At 51.8% G+C, this 21,198-nt stretch overlaps 1 protein-coding gene across 1 annotated transcript in view, besides 3 other annotated features; it reads right to left on the reverse strand.

The window, feature by feature from the left end:
• Positions 1,762–21,198, reverse strand: part of BMP7 (bone morphogenetic protein 7) — a 97,889-nt gene continuing 78,452 nt past the window's right edge. The window contains exons 4-7 of the mRNA NM_001719.3: positions 16,731–16,928; positions 7,940–8,016; positions 6,209–6,319; positions 1,762–4,117 (exon numbers count right to left, since the gene is read on the reverse strand). Coding sequence (NP_001710.1) covers positions 3,968–4,117; positions 6,209–6,319; positions 7,940–8,016; positions 16,731–16,928 — 536 coding nt within the window. The 3' untranslated portion in view covers positions 1,762–3,967. The remainder of the gene's footprint in view (positions 4,118–6,208; positions 6,320–7,939; positions 8,017–16,730; positions 16,929–21,198) is intronic.
• Positions 5,812–6,313: an enhancer, noted in NCBI's record as "H3K4me1 hESC enhancer chr20:55747859-55748360 (GRCh37/hg19 assembly coordinates)". NCBI's record gives its function as "activates a minimal SCP1, AML or CMV promoter by ChIP-STARR-seq in naive H9 embryonic stem cells {active_cell/tissue: H9 hESC(naive)}" and the evidence as "EXISTENCE:reporter gene assay evidence [ECO:0000049][PMID:30033119]".
• Positions 16,238–16,760: an enhancer, noted in NCBI's record as "H3K4me1 hESC enhancer chr20:55758285-55758807 (GRCh37/hg19 assembly coordinates)". NCBI's record gives its function as "activates a minimal SCP1, AML or CMV promoter by ChIP-STARR-seq in primed H9 embryonic stem cells {active_cell/tissue: H9 hESC(primed)}" and the evidence as "EXISTENCE:reporter gene assay evidence [ECO:0000049][PMID:30033119]".
• Positions 16,761–17,282: an enhancer, noted in NCBI's record as "H3K4me1 hESC enhancer chr20:55758808-55759329 (GRCh37/hg19 assembly coordinates)". NCBI's record gives its function as "activates a minimal SCP1, AML or CMV promoter by ChIP-STARR-seq in primed H9 embryonic stem cells {active_cell/tissue: H9 hESC(primed)}" and the evidence as "EXISTENCE:reporter gene assay evidence [ECO:0000049][PMID:30033119]".

A 21,198-nucleotide genomic window follows, 5' to 3' on the forward strand; every position in this document is an offset into this window, starting at 1 on the left:
GACAGAGGGAAAGGACTACCCGTGTGCAGCGTCCACGGTACAGCAGGCTGGCCATCGGCCCCACCCACCAGAGAAGCTAACACTCAGCGTTGGTGCGCACAGAGGAAGGCCCTCAGGCAGTCTGGAAGCAGGAGGGAGACCGAGCCCTGAGCAATGGTCCAGGAACTCAGTCGTCAGGGCCCAACACACAGGATGGCGGACGGACACTGGCAGGCTCGGAGCTGCAGGCCAGGAATCCCCATGTTTCTCCAGCAGCCCTGGGAGATTCCAGCTCAGGAAAGCCTGGGGTTGAGCCCAGGTTTTGAGGTTTAAATTTCAGTTCCAGTAACTATTAGCTGGGGACTTTGAGTAAATTCCTTCACCTCTCTGTGCCTGACAGTGAGCGGGACTGAGAAGAGAGGCAACGAGAAAACGCTCCAGGGGGAAAATGAGCAAGAGAGGTGGTAAACCAGGAGGGGGGAAGATGAAGAGGAAAGGTGAGGCCATTTGTGGTGCTATAGCCACAGACGCACGTGCCTGTAGGGCCTGCCCAGAGGGCCAAAAGGGAAAGTGGGACAGCGGTAACGAAAGAATGTTTGTCCTTTCCAAAGTGCCCGGCTCTCCCAGGCTAGCCTCTACTATCCTGCTCTTAATAGGGACATTAGGGACATGGATGCACATAAATACGCATCTACAATTTTAAAAACAGCAACTGACATTCACCCTTTTGTAAGAGAGGCAATAGGGAGCAGTGGAGACTGGGCACCAGCTGTCCCTCTGCAGCCACCCAGAGCAGCCATGTGTGTGTGGGGCCCAGAGTGGCCAGGCCTGCCGATTCTCAAGAGAAGCCAGATTTGGGGAGTTTTTCTTCACCCTCATCTTCTGATATTCAAAAACATGTTGGCAACGAATCCACATTTTAAGACATGGATAAACACCACCATGCCAGGGGAATAAGACCCGTGTGCAGGCCACATCTAGACCTCCAGTGTGTGGCTCTGGCCTTCAGCCTGGAAAATGGAACAAACGCTAAACTGCTTGTCCGGACAATGGCGGGAGGGTCTGGAAATCACAAGGACTGGGACTTGTTAGGAGCAGCCGCTTTATTCCAGGCAATAGGGGAAGAATGGGCGGCCTGTCCAAGTATCAGGCTGGGATTCCAACAACAGCCATCAGGTGACCTGAGTGTGCACTTCAAAGAGGAAAGGCGTCCAAACTGCTGCTCCACGCTACGCAGCCAAGTGCTGCTCCATGCTCGGCGAGACACTGGGCCCTGGCCGCCTTCGCCAGGCCTGCTGGGGGCCATCCACGTCCACAGTCGCGCTCCAGCAACTGCCCCAATCATTTGCACTGGACAGTGTCAGCTCTGGGGCCGGCACCGCTTTAAAGTTTTGGGCGTGCACCTCCTGCCCTTTTTCTCTCTGTGGTGCCTCTATTTTATTGGGATGACTAAATCTTTCAACTATGTTAGCAGTAAACACAGCTAATTTACCCCCTGCCTCTTTGAAACAGCTGCTGACAGCTGCACTGTAATTCAATCAAGGACCTTTGTAGTCGAGCCTACCAAATTCACATGTGTTGCTTGGTTCCATCTCTCCTGCCCGGAGCCCCACACAGCTGCACCAAATATTGACGAGCGGCCACTTCCCCGCAAGGCCTGGATGCTAAACAGAGCGTTCACGGTGGAGACGAAGGCAGGGAGCTCTTAGCAGTGTGAGAGAACTTCAGTGTCCAAGAACTGAGAGAAAAACACAACACACACAGACAGACACAGGCCAAAGAGCCAGAACCAAACGTCTCCTTTTATTGCAAGGTCAAACCCTTTTCATTTTGTCTATTTATACAGAATTTTCACTAAGGACTGCTCGACGCAACAGCTGTGAGTACATTGGTCCAACCATTAATAAATAGTCTTAAATAAGAAAACAAACAGGTTGAAGGAAAGCAAGCTCATCGTCCTGAACGAGGGATTAAAGGGGGGGGGGTGTTCAAAAGAGCTTTGGATGGAAATAAATAATCTCTTTGCTTTGTAACAACTATTTACAGGTTTAAATGTACAAATGATGCTAACCAGAGGCTGGTTGGGTCAGAAAACTCACACCAAGAGGGATCACACAAAAAGCCCCAGCTCTGCCAGCAAATGAAACCAAACATAACAAAAAATACTCCTCCCCAGTGACTAGAGAGTGGAGGCTGCAGCCCAAGCTACTAAAGAAGAAAAACATCAAAGAAAATAAAAACAGAGCCCCGGTGTTTCCAGGAACTGTCTGAGTCAAGATGGAGAAACAGTCCCCCACAAGACCGGGTTCCACATGGCCACAGTTTTCGATCACCTTGTTTTCTTTACAGATGCAGAAAACGTTTGCAGACAGTCTAGCCCTCCCCTAGGCCTTGTGTTTGTGGCCGGAGGCTGAGTGCATACTATTTATGGGACTCACCAGCCAAGGCAAGGCAGGCTTACACCAAGAGCCACGTCAGAAATGCCACCTCCAAATCGGGACACTTGGTTAGGATGTCACCCTCAACAAGGCTTCTATTTGCAATGTAAGTCCAGCACATCCTGCACCCATCAGACCTCCTATTATGCCATCTCCCCCTTAATTCAAGGAGCAAATTTGTTTGCAGAGACTTCTGATCAGGGTCTGCAAATGAAGAGACAGCCACGGGTGCCCTTGCCAGGGCCCAGCCTTGGAATGCCACTGCAGACAAAGACCAGAGGGTCCACTGGGGCGATGTGCAGTGCTCCTGCTCACCCCACTCCCGTGGAGAACTAGGCTTCATTGGTGCTGTTTTTTTTTTCTTTTGAGATGGAGTCTTGTTTTGTCACCCAAGCTGGAGTGCAGTGGGACGATCTTGGCTCACTGCAACCTCCACCTCTGGGGTTCAAGCAATTCTCCTGCCTCAGCCTCCAGAGTAGCTGGGATTACAGGTGCGTGCCACCATGCCCGGCTAATTTTTGTATTTTTAGTAGAGATGGGGTTTCACCATGTTGGCCAGGCTGGTCTCGAACTCCTGACCTCAAATGATCCGCCCACCTCAGCCTCCCAAAGTGCTGGGATTACAGGTGGGAGCTACTGTGCCCGGCCCATTGGTGCTTCTTAACAACAGGGTTGAGTTGCAAGTTCCATCCTACTTGCTGTCCTTGTCCCCTCTGCAATTTCACATGGATTTACTACCACTGGGGCGAGGTGAAAAGCCAATCCCAAATGTCTGCGGGTATTTCACACACCTAGTTTCATTTCTGCCACGGCAAATCCAGCTGAACAACAGAACATATTTTTCCTCCAAAGATCAACACACCGCCCTCCTCGGAGCAGACATTTGCTCTTTCCCCTCCCACTAGATCTTGGATTTGGGCAAACCTCGGTAAACACTGGGCCTCTGCAAGCCTCAGGATGAAAACTGTAGGGAATGGAGAGGGACCTCCCCGCCCTCCACTTGACACAGCTTCTGTTTACGCATCAGGATAAACCGAGAAATGGGGATAAATTGTTTAGGAAAATATATCTGTAACGTCCTAACCATTTTCATTCATTCGTTTTATTGTGACATTTATTACAGGAACTTCCGGGTCAATTTTCCTTTCGCACAGACACCAATGTGCCCACCCCTTGCCACGCCCCCTTCCTCCCACGGCTGGGTGGCCTGGCTGGTAGGCGCTCATAATTACCTCTGGAAACGAGTCCGTGCATGGCTGAGACTTCCCAGCCAATGACCTGGCCCGGCCATTTTTCTTTATGCGTTGTTTTTTTTTCCTGCTAGGTTTTGCCTGCACAGCTTGTAGGATCTTGTTCATTGGATGCTGCCACTGAAAAACTGATCAAAAGCCATATGCTGCTCATGTTTCCTAATACTCTCACACCTTTAAAGTTGGGGATAGGGAGGGGAAGGTCTCACAAAAGGCAGTTGGTCTGCTGGTTCCTGGCCAAGGCGAGCAATGGAGGATCCAGAAAAACTTGGCCCCAAAGGGTCTGAATTCTCGGAGGAGCTAGTGGCAGCCACAGGCCCGGACCACCATGTTTCTGTATTTCTTCAGGATGACGTTGGAGCTGTCATCGAAGTAGAGGACGGAGATGGCATTGAGCTGCGTGGGCGCACAGCAGGGCTTGGGCACCGTTTCCGGGTTGATGAAGTGGACCTGAAACACACACCAAAACATGGGCAGTGGTGAGAAGCGGTGAGTCGTTCTAACTGGCCTCCACGTTTCTATAAAGAAACATCCTGTCTGGGCATAATGAATGACTGCAGGTGACACTCCCCAAGCCAAGCACTCCCTGTTCTAAGCACTTTACATGGACAACTCAGTTCTGGGATTATCCCTGTTTTGCAGACAAGGGAACCAAAGCATAGAGGTTTTCACATTATACAGTGGGGAAGGAAGGGGCCAGATCCGACATTCAGGACCAGGTAATTCTCTGTTGGGGAACTGCCCTGTGCACTGTAGATTGCTGAATAGTGTCCCTGACTTGGACCCACTAGAAGTGCTCCATCTTGCTCATGGACTTCTCTGCACCTTACAGAGGATGTGGGACAGGGACACATAGACTCAAATGCCTATGAGTGCCACGTGAGTGCCACTGATAAGCAAAATAGACCGAGGTAAGACAATAGGGAATAGTGGGGACTAAGGCAAACTAAGGGAAGAGGCCGCCACTCAACCTAAGCTGACGGCAGCCAACCAAGATCAGTGTTAGCAGATCTGCCACGTGTTCAAGACAGGCCAGAGATTCCACTGTCCTGTTGTTTTCAACGTGAAACTTCTGGGTTTCCAGCAACTGTAGGTGCCAGGCAAGAGCATCAGTGACTGGCACTCTGTTCACAGCCTCCAGGCTGTGACTGCTGACATAGGCCAGCATGCTTTTTACACATTTTATGATGGACAATTTCAAACTCTTACACATCCATACCCTTCCCCACCTGCTCCACCTTGAATGATTTTAAAGCAAATTCCAGCCATCAGCTCATTTCCTCTGGAAGCATTTCATCAGGACTCTCTAGAAGACAGTTGCCCCCTTTTAAACATGACCACAATCGCATCATTTCACAATCCCTGGAGAATTCACTTTGATCCTGCAGATCTCTGGTGAAATACTGATGGAAGTAGGTGCACACAGGGCGATGGCACTCCTGTTCCATGGGCCATGAAGGCAGGGGTTGGAGAAGGATAGAGATGTGTCCCCTGGCAGCCGGGGAGACATGCCTGGCACCTTCCAGGGGATACTGGCACAGCACAGCACATCCAGGCCAGGGAACAGGTTGGGGAGGACTCTTCTGTTTCCAGCCTAAGGACCTTCAATCCCAAGTAGGGCTTTGAAGTTTACAATTGAGGAGGGGAGCAAGGGCTTTGGAAAACCAACACTTAAAAAAACAAACAAAGAAACAAAAACCCCTGCCCTCAAAGAGCAGAATCAAATGAAAGGGATAGATGAGATTTTTCTCCAGGACTTAACACACAGGACAGGGACAAGAAAAGAAGGAGGCAGATTACTAAATGAAAGGAGGGAGTAGTCCTGGTAGTGAGCTCTCTGTCACTAGAAGCATTCAAGGCAGGGTGGATGATCAGTAGGCAGGAAAGGCTCAGATGATGTTCATGACAGGGAGCTACATAACCAAGGTCCTTGAACCTTGGATTCTAAGCAAAAGAACAAAATCCCTACAGCTCTTATCACTATGGTTGCTGTTGGCAGAGCAGGAATAACACCTACTGAGTGTCGCCACGTGCTGGGCACGTTAATCTCATTATCACATGGAATCTTCCTGGTGACCCCACTGAAATTTAACTTGAAATGGCCCCATGGGTCCCCACTCATCTCTCCATCCCATTATCCTGCTGGCCAGCTTCTGATCACTGTGCCCCTCACTGAAATTTCTCATCTGTTTACCTGTTTCCTCTACTGGAAAATGAAGCAGGGCCCAGTGCTCTTAGGCACCGTAACCAGCACCCACAATACTACAAGCATCCTCAAAGGAGCCCATACAACTTTTAGTTACTTTAAAAATTAGGAGAAATAAATGAACTCCAGGGTCGAAGATTATACTCCTCTTTATACCAAACCAGTCATAAAGTACAATTTTTGATTTTTTTTTAACGGCGCAAGGGGCCCCCAAAAGTCATGACATGGCAATGGGCTGACATCTACTCAGGCCCCAGCTTGGAGGCAGCAGGATCTGGTGGCCCCGCAGCCTGCCCGGCCCAGGTGACCACACCCCAAGATGGCGTGACACCCACCAGCGTCTGCACGATGGCGTGGTTGGTGGCGTTCATGTAGGAGTTCAGAGGGAAGGCACACTCCCCCTCACAGTAGTAGGCGGCGTAGCCTTCAGGCGCGATGATCCAGTCCTGAGGAGGAGAAGAGAGTGTGGGAAACCATGCAGAAGGCCTGAGCCACAGCATCCCAACCCCCATGCTGGCCAGAAACCACCACGCCAGGCTCACGACCCAAGGTGGAAGCCTCAGACCATGCCTTCTGAGCAGCAGGGGGCCCAGCAGGGGCAGGAAACATGGGTGGCCTCTCATGGTCCCAAAAGAATGGAAAGAAGGACCACTCTATAGTCTTGGCCTATAGTCCAAGCTTAGTAGACTGAGTGGGAAGACGGCTCAAAGCTGCGGTGAGCTATGATCACACCACTGCACCCCAGCCTGGGTGACAGAGCAAGACCCCATTTCTAAAAAAACATAAAATAAAAATGAAGGAAAGCCCCACGGGGCTTGGCTGATCCTAAAATGGACATCCATGGCTGTGTCTTCTGGACAGAACGCGGCACAGGAAGGAGCCTCCGGTGTGAGGCAATCATCAGCTCTACCCCCACTAGGTGGTCACACACTGGCAGTTCACCTTAAACAAACCTCCATGCCTCGGTTTGCCCACCTGCCAGAGAGGCTAATAACTCATAATGGCATCACCCATGCTGGCTCCGGGTGCACTGGTCAGTAAGGGATCCATGTGCCATCCTTGCCTCTAGGGTCTGGGTGGCACAGAAATGTTGCCCAATAATCAATATACTCCTCAGTGATGCTTAAGCACATGGAATCTTCCAGCAGAGGCCCCTGGAGTTTGGGTTCTGTCCCAGCTGCAGGTGGATGTGGTCATCAGTCCTGAGGGCAGGCTCACAGGAGGGCTCAGAGCTGGCTGTGTGCACGTACGCCCTGAGTGTGTCTGGGCATAATCCCCAGGGAAGATTCTGGACTCTCCCACTGAACTACAAGCTCCCTGAGGGTAGAATACCACCAGTTGCCCTGATGACCTCATGACAATACCCTCTCCAGGGATATTTGAGCCCCACAGGGCAGACACATTGCAGTGTTCATCGCTGCATCTCCAATCCAGTACCTAGAACAGGGCCCAGAACGCTGCAGATGCTGCATGACTGCTGAATGAGAATCACACCAGAGCTCACGGCAGGTGGATCACATGACCCTCACTCCTCTCCTAGGATTCATCCCCTGCCTTTTGCCTCACTCCATGCAAATGGCTCCAGAGGGGGCAGCCATGTGCCAGTAACATGACCCCACCCCTGAAACAGTTGACTGGTTCAGGAACAAGTGCCTGAACCAAGCTGGGCAGATCCGTCCCTCCCGTGGGAATGGGAATGGGGTAAATGAAGTCAGAGGGCAGAGGGGGAGATGGCTCCCCAGGTATCTACATTCAAACACACGGCCCGGCATCATCTTGAGAAGCAGCCAGCCAAGGGATGGGAATGAGGTGCATGCAGAGAATGGGGTTCAGAGTCCAAAGTGTTTGGGTTCCTGGTTCAAGTTCAAGTCTCAACCACATTTCTGCTCTCGGATTTCATGAGGCCTCCCTGTATCCTTAGCCCAAGTCCCCTTCCCTAGCGAGGCCACTTGATACTGGAGTCTTAACTGGCAGAGATGAGAAACAAGACTGAGCACAGACCCGCTGCCTCGTGGGAGCCCACGCCAGAGGGCCCACACCCAAGACAGACCCAGCCAGCCCCTTACCTGCCAGCCCAGGTCTCGGAAGCTGACATACAGCTCGTGCTTCTTACAGGCCTGCCTCTGGTCGCTGCTGCTGTTCTCTGCATTGACAAGGAAGTGAAGAAGCAGAGCCCAGTGAGGAGAAAGAAACACACACACATCAAAGTTCCCTCCATCTTAGGCAGTGATGTGAACAGCAATGAAGCACAGACGGCTGGGGGGTAAATTTCCCGATTCAAAAGCCAGTTCGAGGGTCTAACTGCCTTAAAACTCATTTCTACCCCCAGCAAAGGCCCTACTAAGGGAGGTGCCAATGCCCCATTCCTCTCTCATGTAGTCTTATCCCATAATACTTTCTGGAACCTTCTGCGGACACTGGTTTCTTTTATACACGTGTGTTGTTTAAATGCTGACATCTGCCTGGATTCCATAAGGGAATCAAACCCCATCCACCTCACACAAGGCCACTGCAGGCACCCTGCTCAAAGAGATCTGCTTATGAACAACCTCAACTCGTGAGGCCCCAACACACTCATCCCTCTGCAGGGGCAAGAGGATGCGGGACAGGGCCTGGGACAAGCAACCATCACCACCACCAGCAAGAAGAAATGAGACAGCAGAGAGTCAAAACCTGATGACCTTTCAGAAGAAAACACTCCCGAGGTTTCTTTGAGTAGTGAAAATGATACAGGGGGTTTTCCAGAACTACGTAAATTTGGAAGCATTCGGGTCAGGGCCTGAGCACTTGTAAACATTGCAGAAGTGTCTGTCTGTCTGTCTTGTCTCTCTCTCACACACACTGCAACCTTCCTTCCACCCCACAACAGAGGGATTGCTTTTTTCCTAGTCATGACCTGTCTTTCCTCCACCTACAACTTCCCAGGGGCTCTCTGTCATACTCAGAGCAGGGCCCAGGCTGTGCCTGTGGCCCACAGGCCCGGTGTGCTCTGACAACTGATTGACCAAACACCAAGCTCACTCCCACCGCAGGGCTCTTGCATGTGCCGTTTCCTCCACCTGCAATGCCCCTCCCTGCAATCTTTGTTGTGTCTGGCTCAAGCCTTGGTTCCAATGTCACCTTCTCAAAGAGGCTTTGTAAAGTCACTATTAGATCCCCAAAGCTAAGCTCATCAGTGCACATCCTGTCCAGGAGTCAGGAAGTGGTTCAGGAAGGGCAAGTGACCCAACACAAACTAAAAGACATAGAGACTTCTGGAAAAAGTTCCCACATTCCTAAGAAAGACCCATGGAGAGACATTCATTCTCTTCCTCCTACTGCCCAGGAGCAAAAAATAATGAAGCCCCCCTGGCCAACTACAGCTGTGGCCTTGAGAGGAAGCAGCACTGAAGATGGTGGGGTGGGGCAGAAGGAGCTGGGGCTCAGAGGACACTGTTGAGCTCCTGGATCAACCAACCCTAATGTCCACCCAACCTTAGCTCTGCGGGCTGGTGAATTTTCTACTGGTTGAAGCGCATTTGACTTGGGTTTCTGATGTCTACAGCCAAACCTCAACCCATCCCAACTGGCTGCCCTGTGAAGGCTCATCCCATATAGAAAACGGCAGTCTGCTTGAGCCCAGGTGTCGCCCTTAGAGGTGTAGACCCTGGAGCACAGTCAGCCTCTGAGTGGAGTCTAACTCGTGAGTCAAGACCAGGTCTTGGGGACTGCTCTAGCTCTGGAGTCAAACCCCAGCTCTCCTAGATCTTGGACTCCTGGTTTGCAAAATGAAGAGAGCTCCTATAACTCCTGGGGTAGGCTTGAGTGTTCATGGCAGTTTCATATTTTCTTCTTCTTCTTCTAGCCCACTTGTTAGGGAAATTTGAAACTACGCACATTCTCCATTCACACACACACACACACACACACACACACACACACACACACCTGTTAACTGTTTGAATGCATGGCTCTTTCCTCCACACCCACTACATGCCATTAGGGTATATGTCAAAGAGTGGAACACCACTCAATTTTTGGCTTTTCTCTGATTCATGAGAATTCTATCTGCATAGCTTCTAGGATAATGAGAAATGGTAAGATAAGAAGGACATCGCCGAACTCCCTTCCCTAAGCCTTACTTTCTTCATCTGTAAAATGGGTGGGACAGGAGTGGTGCAGTAAGCTAGCCTCCCATGGACCACACACTGCAAATTAGGACACCTCCTCAGACACAGACTGGACATTCTGTTGGTCCTGGAAACCTTCAGTGTGCCTTAGCTACCCCATGGCTGAGAACAATTGTGGAATGAAATGGGCTAGAAGCAGCAAGCCAAGAGTGGAAAGCAGAAAGGAGAAAGAAGAGGGTTGAGGAGGAAGGAGGCAGGAGAGAGGAGAACAGCATGGAGAGCACAGGAGTCAGGAACTGGCCTCCAAGGCTCAGGCTGAGACAGGAGCACCATGCTCCCTGCTGGGGACTGAAAAGCAGGCTGCTTTTATTTTCATCAGCAATTTTTTTTTTGAGACAGAGTCTTGCTCTGTTGCCCAGGCTGGAGTACAGTGGTGCAATCTTGGCTCACTGCAACCTCTGCCTCCTGGGTTCAAGCAATTCTCCTGCCTCAGCCTCCTGAGTAGCTGAGACTATAGGCACTCATCACCATGCCCAGCTAATTTTTGTATTTTTAGTAGAGACGGGGTTTCACCATGTTGGCCAGGCTGGTCACAAACTCCTGACCTCAGGTAATCCACCCGCCTTGGCCTCCCAAAATGCCATTTTTGAATATATCTATTTATACAGATATAAAATTTATCTACAGTTCAGAAAAGCAATGTGGAAAGATATGCACACCAATAACGAAATTACATTTAATTGATTATAACCGAATCACATGTGTGATTCCTGAGGAGACACTTGAGACTTTCGGTGAAGTGAACTTGCTGAAGGCTGGGGCGGGGCTGGTGGGCTCCAGGCTTTGGGGCAGGAGCGCTTGCCCCTGGGTGCCCTGCCCTCGCGGCCTGCATGCCTTGTGGAGTCACTCATTCATTCAGCCATTGCTAGGGGCTGCTTCCTGGTGTGCAGGCATGAGATGAGTCCCAGGTGTAAGACAGCAAAGCCCTGCCACTCAGGGGCTTTTCCAGAACGAGAGGCGGGTCATAGATAAGTGAGTGCACATGACTTACATGGAGATGAGGGCTACAGAGGAAAACAAGGCAGGAGAAGCTGGAGTGAGCGGGCATGCTGCCGCGGGTGCCAGCAGGCGCTCTTCTGAGGAGGTGACATGTGGGTAAGAACCAAAAGGAAGTGAGATAGGAGGGTGGGGAGGCATCCAAGGGCGAGGCATTCCTGCATGACGATGCTGAGCAGTGGGGACGAGGCGCCCTCCATGTCTGAGGCCGCTGGAGTAGCATCGGATAGAGGATCAGAGGCAGGCACTGAGCCTGGCAAGGAATGAGGAAGCTGGGGCCTGGGTCAGCAGACAGTGTGGGCGGAGGGAAGATCTGCGTGGCTGGAACCAGCCCCAAGGCTCAATGCTGCAAGGGGGTGCTCAGAGTGGATGGAGGCAGCCAGGGGGAGCCCAGAGGCCCCTGGTCCCCACCCTCCGTGGGGGAGTAGCAGGGCTGGGAGAGAGAGAACCAGCTCTGGGGCAGCAGGAACCTCCCCAGGGCCAGGGTGTCCTCAACACAGGAAGGTCAAGGTCAAGGAACCATCTGGGAGGAGCCCAAACAGCTGGACTCTACAGCCTGCCCTCTAGAGCACACGATGCCAAGCAGAAACCTAAGATGGCCTTCATGGCTGTGGCAATGCCCAGGGCCACAGGTAGCCATGCCCCTCCACGAGCCTCCTCCCTCTTCCCTGTGGGGGGGTAGAAGGCAGGGTGGAGGAGAAGGAACATCCCCTCAGCTCAGGGATGTGTCAGGTGAAGCTGCTAGCTCGAGCCAGGGACATTGCTGACTCCTTGGTGTCCTGAGTCAAGGAGGATTCTGAAGCTGTGTTCAGGCTCCGTCAGAAGGAAGTCCCATGATCTATTAGCAATGTCTGTCATGAGCACAGGAGAGGCCATGATCTATTAGCAATGTCTGTCATGAGCACAGAAGGGACAAGGAGTGGCCTGAGTGCTACTTTCCCCAACCCTGTCTTAAAGTAAAGCCACGACATTTGGCATAACTTAGTTCAAACCCAAGGCCAAACAGACCAAGGCCGAGCACAGCTCATGAAGCTAGTTATGGTGTACGAGTGAGGCGTGGGCACTGGCCCTGCCACCAGGGACTCCAGACCCTGCTCTGTGCTTCCAGGGCTCTTTGATCACGGCTGTCCCAGCAGAAAGTGGCCGGAGCTCCTGTGTATCCTTAGGACTTATTAGCAGGAAAACAAGGAAAGGAAACGAAGGAGGGACTCCCAGCTCCCCTGTCCGTCCAAGCCTGCCCCACCCGCCCCCAAGCAACAGAAAGTGAGCAGGAGACAGCCCTGACGCCAGCACCGGGATTCATCCACCTCCTCAACCCCCTGCTTGGGCCGCAGACAAGTCAGGACTGGTGCTTAGGCTCAGCTCCCGCCTCCACGGGTCATCTGGCAAAGGCGGCTGCTTACCAGGGAGCTGGGTCCAAACGTGGGTGGGGAGAAGGAAGTGCAGGGACCCAGTTTCTCAACCCCAAACCGCACCATCTGAAGAGCACGTGAAGCCCCGGGGGAGGGGGCTGGCGGGCAGGAAAGCGAGCTCCGCGTGGGGTAGCGTGCCGGAGCATGTGCCCCCGCCCCAGCACACACAGGGCTGCCGAGAGATTCAACTTGTGTGGCTCCACGGCAGGGCTCCAGCCCAAAACCGGGGGGACGAGCGATTCAAAGGGGCAGGCACACAGGCGTACACACTCACACTCAAGGACTCTGGCCTAAGCCTAGGGTGGGGCCCAGGCCTCGGTATTTTTATTTTATTTTTTTCTTAACTTCCAGGCAGGTTTTAGAAGAGCTGCAAACAGGGCCACGAGCCATCCGCGGGAAGGAGGCAGGTTCCCAGCAATGAATTTCTGCCACGGGAAACAGTGAGAGCCCCGTCCTGGGGGCTGTGTAAATGGAGACTTGGTGGGGCTTTGATGAGGAGGCGGTGGGGAAAATCAGAGTGAATTCTAAGCCCGCGATGCCTAGTTCCTCTCCCCCTCATTACCCAGGTGCACCCGATGGAGCTCCAAGACACGGAAGTCTCTGCCGGGATGCAGTTTGCCTACACTTCCTGCCTGGATGATCTGCCACATCCTCTAAGGAGTCTCCGGCCTCTGAGCACCCCCTCGGCACCCACCCTGTTCCTCACCTTTCTTAGAGCAGCCAGAATGATCTTATCACCTGCACCCCACACCACAGCTTGAATCTCTGCAAAGACTTCTGAACATGCTTGGCATGAAGTTCAAACTCAAGACGTGACTCCCAAGAGAATGCCTGACCCGCCCACCCTCACTCCCCTCCCCTGCTTCAGCCCCCACAGCCTCCTCCCCACTCCCCAAAGGCGCCAGGAAACCCCACAGCACAGGCCTCTGCCCCTGCAGGTCCCACAGCCCAGAGCATCCTCTCCGGACCAGCCTGGCCTCGTGGGCACCCACTGGACCCAGAGCTCTCAGCTCGCTCGCCACGAAATGTTGTCTGCAGCCCTCGGGATGGGCTGCGTTCCCTAGGCACCACCCTGACTCTGGGTCTGTTACTATGTATGGATGTGAATGGCAACCCCCTCCTTCCTGTCCTAAATTAACACCCCCAAGGGCAGCCTTTGTGTGGGTGTTCGACATTGAATCCTAGCCTTCAAGAGTCCAGCATAAAAGAGGCTTCGAATACAAATGAAGGAATTTGGTTGGTTTTTGACTTGGGAGATCAAAGACCCCTTTGAGAAACCTGGAAAAATGGATCCACTGTCAGAAAAGAAAATATACGGAATCCCTACACACTCTGGGCCACACAGACCCACTGAGGTCCATCCGGGGGCCCCAGGACACCCGCCAGGGGTCAGGAAGCCTTGTCTTAAAAAGGCCACCAACCCCACTGACCTGCCTTCTCCCTTGAAAAGTAAAATGAACATAAATTTCAAGCTAGGCTAGGTAAGGAGGAAGAAGCTATTGGCACTAGAGGGTTAATTTGGGGGTGGGGCTGCTGCTATCCCCTCGCCAGGACCTTTCTCAATAGCCCCTTGCTCCCCTTGGGTGCTTCCTGGGACCAACCGCAGGCCCCGGAGGTGATAAGCAGCTAATAGCTTCCCACATGGTGGCAGGGCAGGTTTGCACCTCAGACCTTTTTCTGCCTTGTGATCAACCTGGAGCCAAGAAGGCTGCAACTCCTGAGCCGGCCCCCAGATGGTTGTGTCCCAGCTCCTTAGCAGGATGAGGGAAGCACTCTGAGGAGGCTGGGGGCAGTAGCTCATGCCTGTAATCTCAGTACTTTGGGAGGCCAAAGTGGAAGGATAGCTTGAGCCCAAGAGCTCGACACCAGCCTAGGCAATATAGGGAGGCCCTGTCTCTACAAAAAATAGCCAGGTGTGGTGGCATCCATCTATAGTCCCAGCTACCTGGGAGGCTCAGGCAGGAGGATTGCTTGAGCCCAGGAGGTCAAGGCTACAGTAAGCCATGCTCACACCACTGCACGCCAGCCTGGGCAATGGCGTGAGACCCTGTCTCTAAAAAAAAAAAAAAAGAAAAGAAAAAAGAAAAAGAAAATCACTTTGCCAACAAAGATGTATTCTTTCCTATCGCTGCTTTAACAAATTAACCAAGCAAATTATCAAAACAATACAAGCGGATTATAGCTCTGTGGCTCTGAAGTCCAACACCAGTCTTAGCAGGTAAATGCAACTGGGGGCTCTAGGGGAGGATCCCTTCCTTGCCTTGTGCAGCTTCTCCAGGCCACCCACATCCCAGGGCTGGTGGCCCCACTCATCTCCACCCCTCTGTGCTCTGTGCTTACATGGCTCCAACCACAGCTCAAAAAGGCTCTCTCCTATAAGGACCGATGGGACCACCCTGCTACACAGAGCCCGCGTATTGGAAGGCCAGCTGATTAGCACCTGTGATTCCAAGGGCAGTCGTAACTCCCCTTTGCCCTGGAGGGTGACACATTCACGGGTTCCAGAGATTAAGACACTGGCATCTTGGAGAGGCTATTGCCCTGCTCATTGCAAATGGCTTCCTGAAGAGCCAGAGAAACGGCACCCCCGGGCAGCAGCTCCCCTGGCCGGCGGGATGGGATTGGGGATGGGGAGCAAACTGGGCTCCTTGGATCTGGGAGGTGTCACCCCTCCAGTCCACTGGAAAATGGTTTGTTGTGAGGTTCATTATTCGAAGCTTTGGTTTTAGTCTGGGAGGAGTCCCGATGCATCTTCTGGCGGACTTGACACTGCATGTGCAGGGGGCATGAGCCAGGCAAGGGGTGTGGGAGGGCTGTCCACAGATGCCCACAGTGCCAGCAGGTCTGCTCCAGGCCAGCCCACCTCCAAAGCTCAAAACCAGAATGCACCTTCTGGGGATCCCAGCACCCCCAGGCCACCAGAGGCTGTCAATGTCGGTTTCCCAATCAGCCTATGGGGAAAGGGATTGCACCCCAGCCACAGCCCCAGTGCCCGGGACAAAGCCAGGCTCCTGTGGGGGCTCCACGAATGCCTGGTGAATTGTCAGAAAGCACCCAATGGGATTGCTGGGGACACCGAAGCTCATCCAGGCCAGGTAGATGGCCCCGGCAATGCCCAACAGGGAAGAGGGCCTGGGGCAAGGGACAACCCAGACCCCAGGGACCCAATCCCAGGGCTGCCAGTTACCTACACTGTGCCCTTAGACAAACGACTTACCCTCTTTGAGCCTCAGTTTTCCCCTCTGTGAAGTGGGAGGCCATCTACCTCAGAGCCTCAAGAACCACACAACATGATGGGCTAAAAGCTGTCTGCTTTAGAGGACCTGCAGAGCACGACCTCCTGGAAGTCTCCTTCGCACAATGCGTTAACTTTACTTATATTTACTGTTAATGTTTGATTTGCTTGCAATAAAAATATTATCTTTAATTTTTTTAAAACCTATCGTAAATAAACATTTCAAACAAACTGAAAAGTACCGCACATCATATATTCTTAAAACACCTACCACCTGGCCGGGTGCAGTGGCTCACGCCTGTAATCCCAGCACTTTGGGAGGCCAAGGCAGGTGGATCACTTGAGGTCAGGAGTTTGAGACCGGCCTGACCGACATGGTGAAACCCCGTCTCTACTAAAAATACAAAAATTAGCTGGACACAGTGGTGCACACCTGTAGTCCCAGCTACTCGGGAGGCTGAGGCTGAAGAATCACTTGAATCTGAGAGGCAGAAGTTGCAGTAAGCCGAGATCGCACCACTGCACTGCAGCCTGGGTGACAGAGTGAGACTTCATCTCAAAAAAAAAAAAATGTGTGTGTGTGTATATATATATAATATTTATCAAGTATTAAAGTTTGCCATGAATTTAAAATATTTTTCATTTATGAAATAAAGATACAGCAAACTCTTCTACCTCCCCATTTCTTCCTCCCCCTCCTTCCATGGGGTAAGCCCCCCCAGGGGTCTTCCCATCCACGTTTCAGGGTCTTTCCTTCATCTCTGTGTAGCTGCAAGTGCCGCCATTGTTCTGTTTATTTAAATATCTACATGCTTGGTGTTGTGTTATACGAATGTTTTGCTACTTGCATTTCTAAGCTAGTTTATTTTTACAGAATTAAGATGTCCTGTGTAGGGGTGGATTTGGGGGTTTTCTTCCTGCTATATTTGTTCCAGAGCCATCTGGTGAGCACCTGAATGGATTTTGAGTCAGTCTCCTGCCGGGTCCCGCCGGGGCCCTGCTGGGTTCCTGTGGTGGGTCTGTGATCCCTCCCACCTAAGCATACCTGCCACGTTGGCCATCCGCAGGGCTTCCTGGTTCTTGGGCGTCTTGGAGCGGTTCTGGCTGCGCTGTTTGCTCCCCGTGGACCGGATGCTGCGGAAGTGGACCTCCGTGGCCTTGAAGAAAGCCACCATGAAGGGCTGCTTGTTCTGGGGCCCGTGCCGCCCAATCAGGCCCGCCAACTTGGGGTTGATGCTCTGCCCTGGACAGGAAGCAGCCAAGTGCACAGAAGAGTAGTTACAGGAGGGCCACGAGCGGGACAGGGCTGCAGAGATGCTATGCCTCCCGGTTCATTCATGAACTCCTTATTCCTCCATCCAGTAAGTATTTATTGAGTACTCACTCTAGGCCAGGTACTGTTTAAGGAACTTGGAACACAACTGTGAAAGCAGCCAAGAAAACATCCTGTTCTCTGGGTTTCCATGCAAGTGGGGAAGGCAGGCAGGAAATATAAGGGGTGGGGAACCAGGCTGAGGGGTGCGGAAGGTGGCAAGCTAGCGAACCCCATAAGTGCCACTCACATTCCATTGGCCAAAGCAGGTCGTGGTATCTGCCTAATTTCAGGGAGTTGGGGGGCAATCTTGCTCCGTGCCAGGGAAGGTGGGAACAATTGCAAACAACCCTAATGACTATAGGGGCCATCTGAGCAGAGATCTGGGTAACAGTGAGTGAGGGGGCCCAATGGATGTTTGGGAAGAGTGCATTCCAGGCAGAGGGAACTGCAGAGGTGAATGCCCGGAGGCAGGAGCAAGGAGGGTGTGTTCAAGGGGCAGGGGCAAGTAGCAGGGACAACTGGGAGGGGCAGTAGGGGCACGAGTCAGGTCGGGTCCTATGGGCAACACGAGCACCTGCCTCAGCCCAGTGTCCTCTGTTGCTGATGTCCTCTAAAATTCACACCCACACAGAGCCTCAGGATGTGACCTCATTTGGAAGCAGGGTCTTTGCAGATGTGCTGTCGTCAGTTAAAATAAGCTCATCCTGGATTAGGATGAGCCTTAATCCAGTGACTAGTGTCCCCATAAGAAGGCCACATAAAGACACAGATGCAGACAGCCTGGGGAAGACAGAGGCCATGAAATGCCAAAGATTGCCAGGAGCCTCTGAAGCCAGAAGAGGCAAGGAGGGATTCCTCCCTAGAGCCTTTGTAAGAGGACAACCCTGTGGCACCTTGACTTTAGACTTCTCGCCTCCAGACTGTGAGACAATAAAGCCCTATTGTTTCAAGCCACCCAGTGAGTGGGACTTCGCATCCAGGGCCCTGGTCAGGACACCAAGGCGCTCTACAAGAAGCAAGAACCACTGGGGTGGGACTTTCAGTGGTGTTTATAAGGCCACTCAGGCTGCCCCTGGAGAGCCGATGGCAGGGGTCAACCTGGAAGCAGGGAGACCAGGTGGAGGCAACAGAATGGTCCACGTGGGAGGTGACGTGAGACTGGACCCAGGGCAGTGGGGAGGGAGGCTGGTGAGAAAAGGCCAGATCCTCAAGAGTTCATTTTTAAAATCTTTAGAATTTATTTTGGTTTTAACTTTTTGTTGTGAAATGATTATAGATTCACAGGAAGTTGAAAGACGATGTACAGGGAGGTCCCAAGTGCCCTTCATCCAGTTTCCCCCAAAGGTGATGTCTCGAATAACAAGAACACAGCCTCCAAACCAGGAAGGTGGCAGATTTAGGACTGAATTTGGGAAGGGATTATAAAAGGTGTGAGAAAAAGGGGAGTCTCATGAGACTGGCATGCTCTTGGCCCAAGCCCCTGGAAGAAGGGAGGGACTGTTTACCAAGGTAGGGAAACTGAGGCAATGGAGCATAAGCTGGGAAATAGAGGGTGGAAGACAAAATGCAGTTTCGTTTAGCAGATATTGTATGAAATCCCTACTTGACACCAAAAGGAAGGTGTCAGGTGGGCAGCAGAGGTCTGGCCTAGGCTTGATCAATTGATCAGTTGGAAGAGATGAGCTCTGGGCTAGTGAGGGAGGGAGTAGGGCCCAGGCAGGTTCAAAGCCCTGCCTCTGTCACTTAATGCACAGCTGGGGCTCAGGACACAGCTTTGCACACCCTAAGTGCTCAATAAATGCTAGCTCAGGGCAGAGCTTTGCATACCCTAAGTACTCAATAAATGCTAGCTCAGGGCAGAGCTTTGCATACCCTAAGTACTCAATAAATGCTAGCTCAGGGCAGAGCTTTGCATACCCTAAGTGCTCAATAAATGCTAGCTCAGGGCAGAGCTTTGCATACCCTAAGTGCTCAATAAATGCTAGCTCAGGGCAGAGCTTTGCATACCCTAAGTACTCAATAAATGCTAGCTCAGGACAGAGCTTTGCATACCCTAAGTGCTCAATAAATGCTAGCTCAGGGCAGTGGTCCAGACAGTAATGTAAGCTTGGGTGTCCCCAGTGTAGAGATGGCATTTAAAGCCAGAAGACTGGATGAGCTCGCCTGGGGAAAGTGTGTACAGCCTGACAAGCAATGTGAAGGTGGCCTCTGTGTTCCACTGAGAGGTCAGGGGAATGCAACGGAGACTGTGCAGGAGTACCCGGTAAGGAAGGATCTGGAAGACGCTTGGGCAGGAAGAATGGGGACACCAACAGGGTATGGGGTCCCGGAAAACAGGGGAGGAAAATAGAGGGAGCAAACTCCGTGTCCGTTGCTCTGCAGATGGACCTAAGAACACACTATCTATCCACTGGCTTTGACAATGATGAGGTCATTGGCAAATATATATGTAATACCATGTCTGGGGGTGATGAGTATTTCAAAGCCAAAAATAAAGCATCCAGTGGAAACAAAGCCTGTTTTACTCATGACAGCACAAGCTCAGAGAGGCTGAATAACCCGCCCAGGGATACCCGGCTTGGAAGCAACAAAGTAGAATCTGAACCCAGGTGAGGATGACGGGGAGTTGGGAGGCTGAGCCTCTGCAGATACGGTGCCCCCAAGTTAGATGGGAGGGGTCAGAGGCCAGCAAAAGCGATGGGCCTGTTCACATCTGGAATTAACTTCACCTGGAGTCCCCCAGACGGGCCAGAAGTCAAGAAACCCAGCCTCCCAGGACCAGATCAGCACCAGGGGGTTCACTTTGGTTTTTTAACAACTAGTGTTTAAAAGAACAAATTTTCCCCCACCCGCCGCTATTTTACCTTAACTCCCTTTAACGTTTGGCTTTCCTGCATTCTTGAGCGGGGTTTCCCGGAGTTCACCCATCTATAATTTGAATGGTTCTATAAAAGAAACCATTAAAGCTGAGCCCCTAGGAATTGTGTTTCCCCCACTAGAAGGCTTTTAGGGCAAAATAAAAATGCCTGGCCTGAAAAGCTGATGCTGTTCCAGATACCTTAAATCCACGCGCTGCAAAAAGTCTCTCTGTACCTCTGAGTGAAGGTGTCTGGCTTGCCTTGGGCAGCTGTCAGGACAGCCACATCCAGGGAGCCACAGCCTCAGCTGAGAAATGTCAGGACAGAGGGGCAAGAAGTGAGTCTCAAGGGTGTTTAAACCCGCATCTGCCACTAACCAGCCTGTGTGGGCTGAGAGAGGCAAGTTGTATGCTGGGGCCTGAATTTCCTCATCTGTAAAATGGGGATGATGCCATGAGACTCATCTGTCCCCCCTTTCCGTGATAGCCAACCGGATTTTCATTAAGGCAGTTGTGCCTTACATAGCCTCCACCCTGGCCTTAGAGGTGGGGCCTGTGGTTTAATAAAAGGCAACTAATCCTCTGGCTACAGTGATTAGTTCAGGGATGAGCACATGACCCATTTTGGCCAATAAATGAAGGAGAAGTATCCTGGAGGTTTCTGGAAAAGAAGCCTCCCACTCTAGTGTCCAGAAGGAAGCCTGCCCTCTCTCTCTCTCTCTCTCTCTCTCTCTCTACACGATTGAGGGAGGAGGGATAGATGGAGCCACAGAAACAGCCACCATCTGGCAACCACAGGTGACCATGTTTCCAAAGAGGCCACCCTGGTAGAAGGCAGAACAGAGACCGGGTCTCTCCTGACATTGCTAAGTCACTGGATCAAGCCAGCCCTGAAGCCCGCATTCTCACCCCAGCCACTAAGATGAAAAACCCTTCGATTTCTTAGTCTGAACTGGTATTTTGGGTTGTTCTTGCCCCTTTCCTAGAGACTTGGGGACAGGGAGCATGGTGCCAGCCATCTGGAACCTGACGTGGAACAGGTGCTCTGAGGACAGGTATGGAATCTTCCCCTTTGTCACCAAGTTTGGAAAAAGGTTCAGATTTTTAACCTAAAGGCTGAACAACACCACAGCAGACACTTATTCACCTTCAACAACAACAACAACAAAGGGATACAGAAAATACACTGGCAATTCCTAAAAAAAGTTTAATATGTAGTCTTCACGTGACCCAACAATTCCACTCCTAGGCGTGTACCCACGAGAACTGAAAACACGGGTTCACATGAAAAACTTGTACACAAGAGTTGGCAGCAGCATTATTTATGATGGCCAAAAAGTG

Source organism: Homo sapiens, chromosome 20 (assembly GCF_000001405.40).
Source record: "Homo sapiens chromosome 20, GRCh38.p14 Primary Assembly".
Lineage (NCBI taxonomy): Eukaryota > Metazoa > Chordata > Mammalia > Primates > Hominidae > Homo > Homo sapiens.